Source organism: Homo sapiens, chromosome 3, assembly GCF_000001405.40.
Source record: "Homo sapiens chromosome 3, GRCh38.p14 Primary Assembly".
Taxonomy (NCBI): domain Eukaryota; kingdom Metazoa; phylum Chordata; class Mammalia; order Primates; family Hominidae; genus Homo; species Homo sapiens.
The window spans coordinates 165023255-165038575 of NC_000003.12; the positions used below are offsets into that span (position 1 = coordinate 165023255).

General features: G+C 30.8%; 1 protein-coding gene across 4 annotated transcripts in view; it reads right to left on the reverse strand.

The window, feature by feature from the left end:
- Positions 1–15321, reverse strand: part of SI (sucrase-isomaltase) — a 111335-nt gene that overhangs the window by 44357 nt on the left and 51657 nt on the right. For all 4 annotated transcript variants that reach the window (XM_047448735.1, XM_047448736.1, NM_001041.4 and 1 more), the window contains 6 exons: positions 14646–14770; positions 13135–13223; positions 10141–10190; positions 9268–9438; positions 7458–7613; positions 316–522 (listed from right to left, as the gene is read on the reverse strand). In XM_047448735.1, coding sequence (XP_047304691.1) covers positions 316–522; positions 7458–7613; positions 9268–9438; positions 10141–10190; positions 13135–13223; positions 14646–14770 — 798 coding nt within the window. The remainder of the gene's footprint in view (positions 1–315; positions 523–7457; positions 7614–9267; positions 9439–10140; positions 10191–13134; positions 13224–14645; positions 14771–15321) is intronic.

A 15321-nucleotide genomic window follows, 5' to 3' on the forward strand; every position in this document is an offset into this window, starting at 1 on the left:
AGTAGGCATCCAATTTTGTTTATTTTAATGACACTATCAGCATAGTTTGATAATAAATGACTTATGTATTTTGTAAGAATTTAAATTTATTTTTAAAATCATCATTGTATTAATCACAAAGTTAGCAGGAATGAGCAGTTTCATTTATTGGGCACCTAGCTATGAGTTGTGTAGGAAAAAATATTTTTATAAAATCAAAATATTATCAAATCTGTTAATAACCTTTAATATTACATTAAATATCAATCACAGGATTATTCAAAATCTCATCTCACAAGATGAGTTAAGCTTTGGGGTAGTTTATATCAAGCATACCTTAAACTGCAACATATCATTTTTGTGATATTTCACCTCCACACGAAGAGTTGAGATGGGGTCAGAAGGTAACTTTATTCTGGCATTTGCAGTATTTAGTTGGAGGTCAGCTGTTATACCCATGGATGAATAGCGAGCTGAGTTGACTGAATAAGAGTTATCTTGTCTGGGAAAGTAACACTCAGGTGCTTTGGATAGAGAAGAACCCTAAAAACACAATGCATGTTCATTGCCAGAAATTATAAGCCTTGTAATATTTTACTCTTTAAAATTATACTGACGTTTAGTCACACATTGTATGATTTACAAGTTTCATTAATACAAAAATGAAATAACAGTTATAACACAAAATATATTTTATGCAATTTGGGATCCCATGTACTAAAATTTTATACAAAATATTTACATTTACACTCTAGAGAAAGAATGGTAGAGCAGAAGGATCAAATGTCATACATTTTTTAACTCAAAAAATAGCATTAAATTGTGTTGTCTGCAAAAGCAAGTATATTACTAATAAATTTTGATTCCATGTTTGTTCTTACTGTTCATATTGATTGTTGATTATTGTGTATAAAAATGGCATTATAACATGCCTCTAAAGGGCAAGTGCTAGAATTCTGTTACTTATAATGAAACTCTCAATCCTTCTTTTTTTAACATGTTCTTATACTGGTTAATTACATCCTGACCTGGATTTGAAATAGGAACCCTGGCCAAGAATCAGAGTTGATTGGTTTAACATAGAAGTGAGAGATAAAACCTAAGAAAAAGAATTATAAACTCTGGCATTGATGGCTGGTTGCCATACCACAATCCATTCTCCCTATCTTCCTTGTTTATTAAATTATTATATTTTGGAGAGAAATATTATATTTATCTACATTTCCAATTTCCTTTTAAAGAAGTTGTGTGAGTCCTCATAAAAGCTCTTTAAAAGAAAGGGGCCTAAGCTGACTAAATTGAGATACTCTGTTTGACTCATCTTCTTAAGGGTGTACTGTCTGGCTTCTATCTAAAGTGAACAATTTCATCTGTGTACCCTATCCCAGGCCTCCTTACCTATAAAAATATTTCTCCCTCAATTCTCCACCCTCTCTCTTGCATCAATAATATTTCATTCATTATGTTATTTTTAACAGCATAAACTGATTTTATTTTTCTCATTTTTTTAGAGTAAATGTCACTTCAGTAACTTCTCTGACTACTGTTCTATTTTTTCTGCTTTCTTTACAGCAAAACATACTCACTATCTCTAATTTGTCCCTTGATTTTCTCTTGAACTCACTCTAACTAGGCTTTTATCCCTAGTACTACATCTAATGTTTGCATGTTAAAGTTACCAAAGACTTCCATGTTGCCAAATCCACATGTCAGTTTCCAGTCCTTATCTTACTGACAAACAATTTGCATAGTTGATCATTTCTTCCATTCTAAATGCTTTGTTCAATTGGCTTCCAGGACCCAGCATGTTATTTCCAACCCAATACTTGAGCTGTTCTTTCTAAGCCTCCTTTGTCATTTCCTCCTTGGCTAAAGTTTGTAATCGCCCAGGGTTTAGTCTTTGAACACTTCTCATCTATTCAAGCTTATTTCGTTGATGATATCATGCTACCACATGGCCTTAAACACAGAAATGAAAGTCTCAGCAATAGAATCATACAGGCAGAGGAAAGAACTTCAGAGCTTCAAGATGAGGTTTTTGAATTAACTCAATCCAATAAAGACAAAGAAAAAAGAAGAAGACAATATGAACACAGCCTGCAAGAAGTCTGGGATTATGTTAAATGACCAAACCTAAGAATAGCTGGTGTTCCTGAGGAAGAAGGGAAATCTAAAAATTTGGAAAACATATTTGAAGGAATAATCAAAGAAAACTTCCCTGGCCTTGCTAGAGATCTAGACATCCAAATACAAGAGAGCTCAAAGAACACTTGGGATATTCATCGCAAAAAGGTCATTGCCTAGACACATTGCTGTCAGGTTATCTAAAGTTAAGATGAAGGAAAAAATCTTAAGAGCTGTGAGGCAAAAGCACTAGCTAACCTATAAAAGAAAACAGCAGATTTCTCAGCAGAAACCCTACAAGCTAGAAGGGATTGGGGCGCTGTCTTCAGCCTCCTTAAACAAAACAATTATCAGCCAAGACTTTTGTATCCAGAAAAACTAAGGTTCATAAATGAAGGAAAGATATAACCTTTTTCAGACAAACAAATGCTGAGAGAATTGTCCACTACCAGAATCAGTACTACAGAAACTGCTAAAAGGAGCTCTAAATCTTGAAACAAATCCTAGAAATACATCAAAACAGAACCTCTTTAAAGCATAAATCTCACAGGACCTATAAAACATAATAAAAAAACAAGGTATACAGGAAACAAATAGCACAATGAATGGAATGGTACCTCACATCTCAATACTGACATTGAAAGTAAATGGCCTAAATGCTCCACTTTAAGGACACAGAATTACAGAATGGATAACTATTCACCAACCAACTATCTGCTGCCTCCAAGAGACTCACCTAACACATAAGGACTCACACAAACTCAAGATAAAGGGGTAGAAAAAAACATTCCATGCAAATGAACACTGAAAGCCAGAAGTAGCTATTTTTATATCAGACAAAACAAACTTTAAAGCAACAGCAGTTAAAAAAGGCAAAGATGGACATTATAAAATGATAAAAGGCCTTGTCCAACAGGAAAATATCACAATCCTAAATATATATGCACCTAACACTGGAGGTCCCAAATTTATAAAACAATTACTAATAGACCTAAGAATTGAGAGAGTCAGCAACACAGTAATAGTGGAGGACTTCAATACTCCACTGATAGTACTAGACAGATCATCAAGATGGAAAGTCAACAAAGTAACAATGGATTTAAACCATACCCCAGAAAAAATGGACTTAACAGATATTTACAGAACATTCTACCCAACAACCACAGAAGATACATTCTATTCATCAGCACATGGAACTTTCTCCAAGATAGACTGTATGATAGGGCACAATAAATTTAAGAAATTTGAAATTATATCAAGCACTCTCTGAGACCACAGTAAAATAAAACTGGAAATCAACTCCAAAAGGAACCTTCAAAACCATGCAAATACATGCAAATTAAATAATATGCTCCTGAATGATCATTGGGTCAAAAATAAAATCAAGTTGAAAATTTAAAAAGTCTTCTAACTGAATGACAATAGTGACACAGCCTATCAAAACCTCAGGGATACAACATACGCAGTACTAAGAAGAAAGTTCATAGCCCTAAATGCCTACACCAAAAAGTCTGAAAGAGCACACATAGACAATCTAAGGTCACACTTCAAGGAACTAGAGAAACAAGAACAAATCAAACCAAAACTCAGAAGAAGAAAGGAAATAACCAAGATTGGAGCATAACTAAATGAAATTGAAACAAAAAAATACAAAAGACAACTGAAACAAAAATCTAGTTCTTTGAAAAGATAAATAAAATTCATAGATCATTAGCAAGATTGATCAAGAAAAGGAGAAAGTCCAAATAAGCTCAATTAGAAATGAAATGCGAGATACTACAACTGACACCACAGAAATACAAAAGATCATTCAAGGCTACTATGAACACCGTTACACACATAAATTAGATGACCTAGAAGAGATGGATAAATTCCTGGAATGACACAACCTTAAATCGGGAAGAATTAGATAACCTCAGCAGATCAATAACAAGAAGTGAGATTAAAATGGTAATAAAAATTACCAAGAAAAAAATGTCCAGGGCCACATGGATTCATAGCAGAATTTTACCAGAAATTCAAAGAATAATTGGTACCAATCTATTGACGTTATTCCACAAGAAAGAGAAAGAGGGAATCCCCCCTAAATTGTTCTATGAAGCCAGTATCACCCTAATACCAAAACCAGGAAAGGACATAACCAAAAAAGAAAACTACAGACCAATATCCCTGGGAACATAGATGCAAGAATCCTTAACAAAATCCTGGCTAACCAAATTCCAAATTCAACAACATATCAAAAAGATAGCCCAACATGACCAAGTGGGTTTCATACTAGGGATACGGGGATGGTTTCACATATGCAAGTCAATAATTGTGATACACCACATAAACAGAATTAAAAACAAAAATCACGGGATCATCTCAATAGACACAGAAAAACATTTTAAACATCCAGCATTCAGCAAAATCGGCAAACAAGGGACATACTTCAACATAATAAAAACCGTCTATGACAAACCCACAGCCAACGTAATACTGAATGGGGAAAAGTTGAAAGCATTCTCTCTGAGAACTGGAACAAGACAAAGATGGCCATTCTCACTTATTTTCAACATAGTACTGGAAGTCCTAGCCAGAGCAATCAGACAAGAGAAAGAAAAAAATGGCATCCAAATCAGTAAAGGGGAAGTCAAACTGTCGCTCTTTGCTGATGATATGATTGTTTACTTAGAAAACCCTAAAGACTCCTCCAAAAAGCTCCTAGAACTGATAAAATAGTTCAGCAAAGTTTTTGGATACAAAATTAACGTACAGAAGTCAGTAGCTCTTTTATAAACCAAAAACAACCAAGGTGAGAATCAAATCAAAAACTCAACCTCTTTTACAATAGCTGCAGAAAATAAAATAAACTAAAATACTTAGGTGTATACCTAACCAAGGAGGTGAAAGACCTCTACAAGGAAAACTACAAACACTACTGAAAGAAATTATAGATGACACAGACGGAAACACATCCCATGCTCATGGATGGATAGAAAGAATATTGTGAAAATGACCATACTGCCAAAACAATATACAGATTCAATGCAATCCTCATCAAAACACCATCATTATTCTTCACCGAACTGGAAAAAACAATCCTAAAATTCATATGGAACCAAAAAAGACCATGCATAGCAAAAGTGAGAATAAGCAAAAAGAACAAATCTGGAGGCATCATATTACTTAATTTCAAACTATACTATAAAGCCATAGTCACCAAAATAGCATGGTACTGTATAAAAATAATCACATAGACCAATGGAACAGAATAGAGAACCCAGAATTAAACCCTGATACTTAGAGCCACCTGATCTTCGATAAAGCAGACAAAAACATAAAGTGAGGAAAGGACATCCTATTCAACAAATGGTGCTACGATTATTGGCAAGCCACATGCAGGAGAATAAAACTAGATTCTCATCTCTCACCTTACACAAAAGTCAACTCAAGGTGGATTAAGGACTTAAATCTAAGACCAGAAACTACAAAAATTCTAGAAGATAGCATTCTAGAAATTGTCTCAGGCAAGGATTTGATGACCAAAAACAAAAGCAAATCCAATAAAAACAAAGACAAACATCTGGGACTTAATTAAACTAAGATCTTTTGCAGTGCAAAAGGAACAGTCAGCAGAGTAAACAGACAACCCACAGAGTGGGAGAAAATCTTCACCATCTATACATCTGACAAAGAACGAATATCCAGAATCTACAACAAACTCAAATAATTTAGCAGGAAAAAACAAACAAACAATCCCTTCAAAAAGTGGACTAAAGGCATGAATAGACAAATCTCAAAAGAAAAGATGAACAAATGGCCAACAAACATATGAAAAAATGATCAGCATCACTAATGATCAGGTAAATGCAAATTAAAACAACAATGTAATACCACCTTACTCCTTCAAGAATGGCCATAATCAAAAAATAAAAAAAAAATAGATGTTGGCATGGATTCAGTGAAAAGGGGACACTTCTACACTGATAGTGGGAATGTAAACTAGTACAACCACTATGGACAACAGTGTGGAGATTCCTTAAAGAATTAAAAGAAGAACTACTATTTGATCCAGCAATCCTGCTACTGGGTATCTACCCAGAGAAAAAGAAGTAATTATACAAAAAAGATACTTGCACGTGCATGTTTATAGCAGCACAATTGCAATTGCAAAAATGTGGAACCAAACCAAATGTTCACCAATCAATGAGTGGATAAAAAAACTGTGGTGTATATATATACATATATATGTATATATATACATATATATGTATATATATGTAACATTAGCCTTATATATATATATAACATTAAAATTATTTAATAGGAAAGATAAAATTTCACATTTTCATGTTTAGAAGATATTTATTCTTTAGCAAAATGAATTGTTCCCACCTGTCCTTTATATTCGTTTTGATAAAGTTAGCATACTTTGAATGCAAAGGGGAATGGATGTGTATTTGGCTGAAAAGAGGCAACTTAAGAGAAGGTTTAGAGAAGTGAACTTCACTATTTGACTTTTATTGATTTTAGAATCTTTTCTTCTCCTTACTTTTTCTGTTCTTATATTCTTCCCTATTCTTCACTAGTGATACAGATTATGCTGCTTTAACAATTAATGGAGAGAAATTGGGATAATTTCTCTGGAGGCAGAGATTCTATGCATCTCTTTATACAAATGTAAATGTCTCTGGGAAATTGCTGACAAATATGTCTTGACTCGCCTCAGTGATATAACAGATGCATTTAGTTATTTGGTTATATTAAATAAATATATTTGTTGACAAAACTCAATGATGTAATGAAAAGCCCAGAATTTGAAAAACAGGCATAGCAAGAGGAATGTTTTACAATGTCCTTCCTGTGACATTGGTAAAAACACCTGCCATCCTCAGCCATCATCATTTTGTTAAAATGAAAGCCAAAATAACTGGCAAGAGATTATCATCCTTAGTGGAAGAGAAGTAGCCCGTTACTCAACATCATATGTCTTAATAACTTGAGACAACTCTTTCAAAATAGTGTCCACTACTGGCATATCTTACCCAAACAAGCAAATCAGCTACAGTCAACACCAAGTAGAGTGTAACTCTCAGACAGAGTATTATTTTTTTAAGTAAAGTTACATTATCCAAAGTTCCTGGAAAGCAATTTACACATCAATTCAGCCTGGCGTTTACTAAGATATGTCTTTGGATAATTAATTAAGATAAAAGTGAATTGCCTGTCAGAGATGCTAACTTCAAATTCCAAATGATTATCTACTTGAATTTAGTTTATATGCTGCAGATTTAAAATTATAATATGTAAAATTTGCACCAAAATGCTTATGTGATAACCATATCATGAGTAATAGTTAAAATTATTATTACCGTTCTCCATACACAGCCACGTTGTGTGCACTTTTGTTCAGTTGCCAAATCTGCATCTGGATAACAATTAAATCTTTCATTTTCTGAGAAAATTTGATTCCATTGAACACTAAAGTTTCTTCCAAGATTAAGTTTGAGATCTGCAATTAGGAGAACCTTTGAAGACAAAAAAAAAAAAAGAAAAAAAGAAAAAAAAAACACAAACAAACAAAAACATTAAACACTGTATCTGATCATTGGATGATTTAAAAAAACATTTTACATTTCACAAAATGTGGCAACGAGGGCAATTCTTCAAATTAAATCATTAATAGTTTTGATAAAATACTAGAAAAACAGAAAATATATATGCAATATATATGTGTGTATTTATGTATATATATACATATATGTACATATGTCACACACATAGAATTATGTCTATAATTGGGATTTCAAAATTATGTTTGATTATTGCTTATATGCCTTGGGAATAATGTGAGCAAGATTTATCCCACACCTAGATTTTCATCTGCATAGCTTACTTTTTGATACCCACCAAACATAATTGCAAAACTTTAAGGAATGAAAATTCATATAAAGATCAATCTATGCACAGCAGAATTATGAAGGTATACACAGCAGAATTATGAAGATTATATATATATAATATATATATATTTATAAGCATAAAAGTGGACATACAAATAGCCACAGATAGACCTTTATATTGCATACATAACCAATAAAATTATTTTTTATTATTCCCTCTTTTAATCTCTATTAGAGTCATAAAGTTCACAATAAGCTTGTATTACTTAATTTATATCAATTTATTCTTATAGTGCTAGGAAATATAAATCATAATATGCCTATTAAATAAAAAATAATTGACCAGTACATATTTTCTGAAAACTAATAATTGAAAAGCCCTGGGCCAGAGGTCTTATGAGTTAAAACAAAAATATTATAAGACAATGTTCTATATCTTAAATAATTTAGAAATTATTTATGGTAATATTACTAATAATTTAGTATTATATAAATGGAGAAAAGATAAATGACAAAAATAATTGCTTTCGTGTTTTTAAATACTACAGTCTCTTTTTTAATACATCAATCTACTACCCAAAGCAACATTATGATTGAAATATTACATTTTGCAAATGAGAAAGCTAAAATAATGAGAGATTGATTTAATGCGTTTAGAAGCAGAGATAGCAGAGTTATAATCTGTGCATCCAATAACAGTGCATCCAATTTTGTTATTTTTTCCCCTCTATACTACAACTGTAAAAAGAGACAAAAATCACAATATAAGGAAGGCTTTCTACAGGAGAAGAAAAGTGTAAACACAAAATTAAAGTTAGAAAAGTACAAGATATATTTTGAGGACAATGAGACCTCACTAAAAAAGAAACAGGAGAAAGACTAAAGAAATGAACAAAACCAATTTGTTAAAGAGTCTAAAGCAGCTAAAACATTTGGGATTTTCTTTTGCGTGCAATAGGTAGGTTAGAGTTCAGATTTGAAGAATTTTTATGGAAAATATTAGAAAGTCCCATATAATTAGAATGCATGAGAAAATGAAATATATAGAGAGAAATAGCAAGGAATTCCCTTCATGTTGATATCTAAATACAAATTGGATTGACATAAATTGGAATATTGTTCAGAAAAAGTGAAGAAAAAAATGAAGGGAAGAAGGAAGCAACGAAGGGAAGAAAGGAATACACACTGTGAGGAGAAATAGGATAAGTGCCTGAATGGTTATATAATATTAAATATGAGATTATATGATAGCTAAAATATTTTAAAAGATTGTAATTACCTGGTTAGAAGCATCATAAGTGAAATTGGAATGAGCGTTCATTGGTTGATTATTTTCCGCCACTCTAACTTCTGTAACACTGTCTGTCAACCCAAGGATTTTTACAGTCTGAAATGCTAAGGTAGTTCCTTCCTGATATGATGAATGTGTGCACACAATATCTAATGTGTTCTGAGAAAAATAGTATAAGATATTATATATTAGGTCATCAGATACAAACCTGAAATAACAATACCGATAAGAAATAGCAAAAAAAGGTCATCATCTACATCTCTATTCCCACCAGCTCTCCTCATCCAAGTAGCACATAGAAATATACTCATTAATATCTATTTTCATTTTTATATATATGCCAGAAAATTTTATTTTCAGAGATAACCTTAATTACTCATATGCAACACATATATACTCATTCTAGTCCTAACATTGATGAAGAATAATTTAGCTTTGCTAAAGAAGAATGTATGAAAAAACCCAAAATCTATGAAAAAATCATTTCTATTAACTATTCAAAATTTAATAAACCAAAATCCACACCAATTATTACTGTGACTAATTCATTAAAACATTTTCAGATATGTTGAAATTGTTTTCCTAGGGCATGTTGCCTAAAACCAATCATAACATGTCAAGAAGTCTAAAGGTTTCTTTCCATCAATTACATGGTCACAAACTTTATAAAATTTTAAGGTAACAATTTATTTATAATTTAACAATTTAAATATAACAATTTAATTGAACAATTTATTTCATTACATTCCATTAAAATCTGTAGGCAAATGTAAACATCTTTTCCAAAAAATTTATCATAAAAGAATAACCTAGGCATGAACAAATTATGCATTTAAGTATATGTACAAAGAGAGTGCTTACATTAGAAACTGAAAATGTATATAATATGTAGTTGCCATTTTGTATTGTATCTGAAATGAAAAATATCGTGATCAGTACAAAATGCAATGTTAAATTCTCTGCTCTGGTTTTACACTTATACAACACTTAAGAAATTTGAACAAACTAGATGCTGTTTATTAATGAAGCATCCCAAACAGATTTTGTTTTTAAATTTTTTAATTGTCTCTAAATTATATAATAATGGTATTTCATTTTCACAGCAAGTAGAGGTAATGAATACATATTTGCCTTGCTTATTTTTTCAAAGACTACCAAGGTATTTCTGGAAATTAAGAGAAAGCAAAACTTACAGTAAATAATATATAATTAAAAATGTATTATTTTGAAAGATATTCTCTCCCTTGTAAACCTCATAACAGTACATTTTTCTTAGGAAGACATGGCATATTATAATACATTTTGCATCTTTTTATTTTTTTCTATTATTTTTTATTCAAGGAAAACAATAAATCTGGAGACATGTTGAAGATTGAAATAAACTTTAGTCTGAAATTTAAATAAACTTTAATGAGGAAAATGGATGAATACAATGATTCTGTACCATATATGTAATATAACTTTTATTCAATGTATCTCTTTAAAGAAAAACTGAAGATAAGGACTGAAATAGTTTGTCATAAACAGTGTTAAAATATAAAGGGAATCCTAGGATTCATATAATATACTTTCCATAACATTAATTTGCTTAAAATTTTAGTCCTAGGAAATAATATTATATTCAGAACCTGAACTGAAGATCACTTTACTGTCTCCATGTTTGCTTACAAATCCATTAATCAGAATTCTGGTTTTCTTTCACTTTTTAAATGCACATAGCTACATAGGTATCATATTAGATAACTGATTGAATTATATTATTCATATTCTTAACTACTTACTTATATGAAAGTAAGCTATTCATATGCATCTTTATCAGTAGACAGTATGTATTTGGAGTATTTATATAATTTGAGTAATAGGAATAATCTTATAATTGCTCCACACATGCTATCAATGGAGGTATTATCTCAACATTGTTTGATTGATGACTACAAGCAATGTTAAGTTCAGCTGAAATCCACTTTTACAAAACTTCTATGTACTAAGTTTTGGCTTACTACATAAGCCAGAGAATAGGTTTGGAATCTAATCTCACAGGAGAGCTCACCCTAGTGTGCTTACACCCCAGGGTATTTAAGAAAGAGCAAGAAGATTGGTGTGCTAAAATTGAATGAGAAATAGAAAGCAATACAGGATAATGTGTTTGTGTGTGTGTGGGTGCGTGTATGTGTGTGCGTGCATGCACGTGTGCACATGTTAAAGCACAAATAATAAGCTCTCTAGGTCTCGATAAAACTCCGTCTCCTAACTGAGTAAAATGGAGGATCATTAGAAGGTTTTGAGAAGAGATGCAATTACTGGAATCACCTTTTAAAATGATTACTCTACCTGCTGGATTGTAATAAAATTTTAAAAGGGGTTAAAAAGAGCTACAGGCCAGTTAGGAAGTTATTGCCCTAAATTAACATGAAAGATGGTGGTGACAGTGGGGGAACTGATGAGAGGCTTCAGATCAAAGTAGAACCAATGAAATCCTTAGGTTGTGAGAGATAATAGCCCATTCCAAGGTGTTGGCATCTGTAGCAATGAAGTTACCATCAACTGACAAAGGGAACACGATAGATGGAGCAGATACATGGTGGTAAGATCCAAGTTCTATCTTGGCAGATTATGTTTTAGATTTTTATTAGACAAACAAATAGAGAAGTACATAGAAGACTGGTTTGGAGATATAAATTTGAAAGTCAGGTAAATGGTATAAAAGACTACATTTATCAAGGAAAGGACTACTGGTAAAGAATAGTAATAATTAAAAGACAGAGAATATTTATAATTAATAGCTGTTAATGATACAAGTAATTCATAGCTTGCATTGAGAAAATCACCCAGAGAATAGATCTTTCCTTAGAATAAGTTTGATTGCTAATACATTGAAATAATGCCATAAATAAATGTAATTTATTTAAATGAATGTTAACTGAGGGTGAATGTAAGTCTTAGGAGAGAATTATAGAATCCTGTGGTAATTTTTAAATATACACATTTTCAAAAATAAATAAATATTCACATGTTTCATATACATTTAAAGGCATTTAGGATAGTCTTTTTCTTCTTGTTGTCCTTCCTATATTTATCTGTAACTCTTTAAAATTTGTACAAGGATATTCCTTAATACACCTGAGAAGTAGTTAATTAAAATAGAAGATAAATTATAATTTTTATACTCATATATAAAACACATACCTAACAGCCCTCTATTAGAAGAAACGAGATTTTTCTAAAAAGTTTCTAAAAATGTATAAGGAAAATTGTAAGTGAATAGTTAAATACAAATAGACAAACTTACTATGGCATAATTAGAAATACCATAGCAGAAGATTACTTTTAAACATTTTGTTTGGTATACTGAATTCCCAAGTTTGGAGCTCAAGAAATTCAATTAAAGATAATAAGGAAAATAAATTGTAAACAATTGATACGATGATATTCTTACCTCAAATAATTTGACATTAAATAACTAAATCTTTAAATGTTGGTTTTATTTTCTGTTTACAGTAACAAAATTTTAGTTATAATCACTACCTTACTTTAAAACAGTTGAAAATATAATGCAATTAGTATATCTGAGAATTTATTGACTATTTTAATCTAATAGATAAAGATAGATTAAAAATCTTGCCAAAGACTTACAACAAACAAAAGCACAAAACTGGATATTTTAGTTACATATAGATAAAGCAAATAACAATGTTAAAAGTTTTAAAGTAGCCTAAAAGCCTGAAACAGATAAAAAACATTAGGAATTAAAAATAAAAATTCGTGATATTTAAAAAATGATACAACCTATATCAATAAAGCCAAAACTTCCCATTATCAGAGTGAACATTTAAAGCGTATTACTTTCAGACTTACCTTTAGTTTCTCCATCATCCCAGAAAAAGTCTCCTTTGGCTGTGTTGTTTTCACCTAATGCGACTATAAGTCCTAGAGGATTCTTACGGCTGTTAAGAAAAATTAGGTGCATATATGGTTAAAAATAAATCCATAATAATACAATATCCTATAAACAAGTCCACTTCAACCTGTCTGTTTTATGGGCCCTGAATTCAGTAAGGACATTGACATCAATAAATTTGTATTTATATGTATTAATAATTTACCGATACCAATGTTCTTATGTGAATACCGAAATAATTTATACATGTAGAAAATAAGTCAAAAGAATAAATGTAATAAATGCAATAATGGATTTTTTGAAGGCTGAGATACTTGCAAAATTGAAATAATATAATATTTTAATTCAAACAAGAAAAATTAAATGTCTTATTAAGGCTCAACTCAACCTGTGTAATCCTAAATCTCAATGTATTAAGTCTACATCTTATGAGAAAAAAAAATATGATTAAAATTTAAAAAAAGTTTAGTGGAATCTGTAAGAATCTTATAAATGAAATGATTATAACAGGAGTAATGAGATGTAGTCAAGAAATATGGTTTTTTTTTTTAGTTACATTTTACCAGGCATCTCCTGGACTGTATAGGATGTATTCCTTCCAGTATGCATTTACCAAAGTGTTTGTTGCTGTTGATCATTACAGCTCTGGTGTATAACAATTTTTTGAGAACATACTCTTGTATCAGTTACATTGTGATACTAGTCCATTCCAGAATGCCAAAACAGTTAAATTACTAATTACTAATGCGTATCGCTAACATACTACATACAAGAAAAGAATAAATAATATAATTTCAGATATTCTTAATGTTATGAAGAAAATACAGTAGGGTAAGGAATAAAGAGTAACTTCCTGTTGGGTTGTGGCAGAATAGGGAAAAGTATGTAAATTCAATACGGCACTTTCTGTGCTCTTTGTACTCAGAATGAATATGTGAAATGGAGCACCAGCATTTTCAAGTTTCTTTTATTTTTAGAAAATATTTCTGAGATTTACACTTAGTGAGCAATTTAGTTTCTCTCTCGCTCTTTACCTAACATAAAATATCCAGTTCATTTATGAACTTAAAGCATTTTAGCAGAAAGAAATACATTGGGATTTATGTATGTATGGAAATTCAAATATGTAAAAATTAACAAATACTTCACTCAATTATATAACAAATATTCACATTTTGTATAGTTATTAAGAATCAAATATTATCTTTAATTATGCTAATGTGGGTAAATTTTTGATACAGGAAGTTAACTTCTAAGTAAATTAGAAATTTTGAAAATCAAGATATTTATAATAATATAAATAATTTCATTCTTTTTATAGCTATGATGGTTATAGTTCAGTATTACCTCTGTATGTCAAATATCTTCTGGTGCAGAAACTAAATATTATCTCTAATTCTTAATGCAAATATGAAATATTAAGATTTGAATTTTATTTTAGATTTCAACTAATGATTTTTCATTTTACCTTGCTGTTGTTGTTACATCTGGTTCTTGAATGGGGATGATATAACCTCCTCTAAGATGTAATCCTATTTTGTCTGCTGGAAGATACATATCAACCCGTTGTTTCCTCCATGGCCTTTTTGCACCCTAATAATTGGAAGATTAAAAACATTCTTAATATTATTGAAGACTTTAAACTCTATTTCACAAGAATTAAAAGGCATTTTTATTATGAGCAATTCATGTCATCCAAATGAATACGAATATATTGTTTTCTAACTTTAGGAGAATTTTTTTTTTCAGTTTGCTGAACAAAGTAGAGGAAAAATAAGTTCACTTTCTCAAAAATAAAAAAATCAACAAAAAGAGACTCATTTTCTTTCTACAATAATTAACAGTACTTTAATTAGCTTTTTTATTCTTTGTTTTGGTTTAAAGTTTATGCCTTTAGGAAGGATTTTCTTAAAATCATTATTTCCGTAAAAATAAAGGGTATACTTAGCCAATATAAGTGATATGCAAAATAATATCATTTAAAATAAATATTGCAGGCCAGGCGCAGTGGCTCACCCCTGTAATTCCAGCACTTTGGGAGGCCATGGCGGGCGGATCACAAGGTCAGGAGATCGAGACTATCCTGGCCAACATGGTGAAACCCCATCTCTACTAAAAAAAAATTCAAAAAAAAAAAATAAATA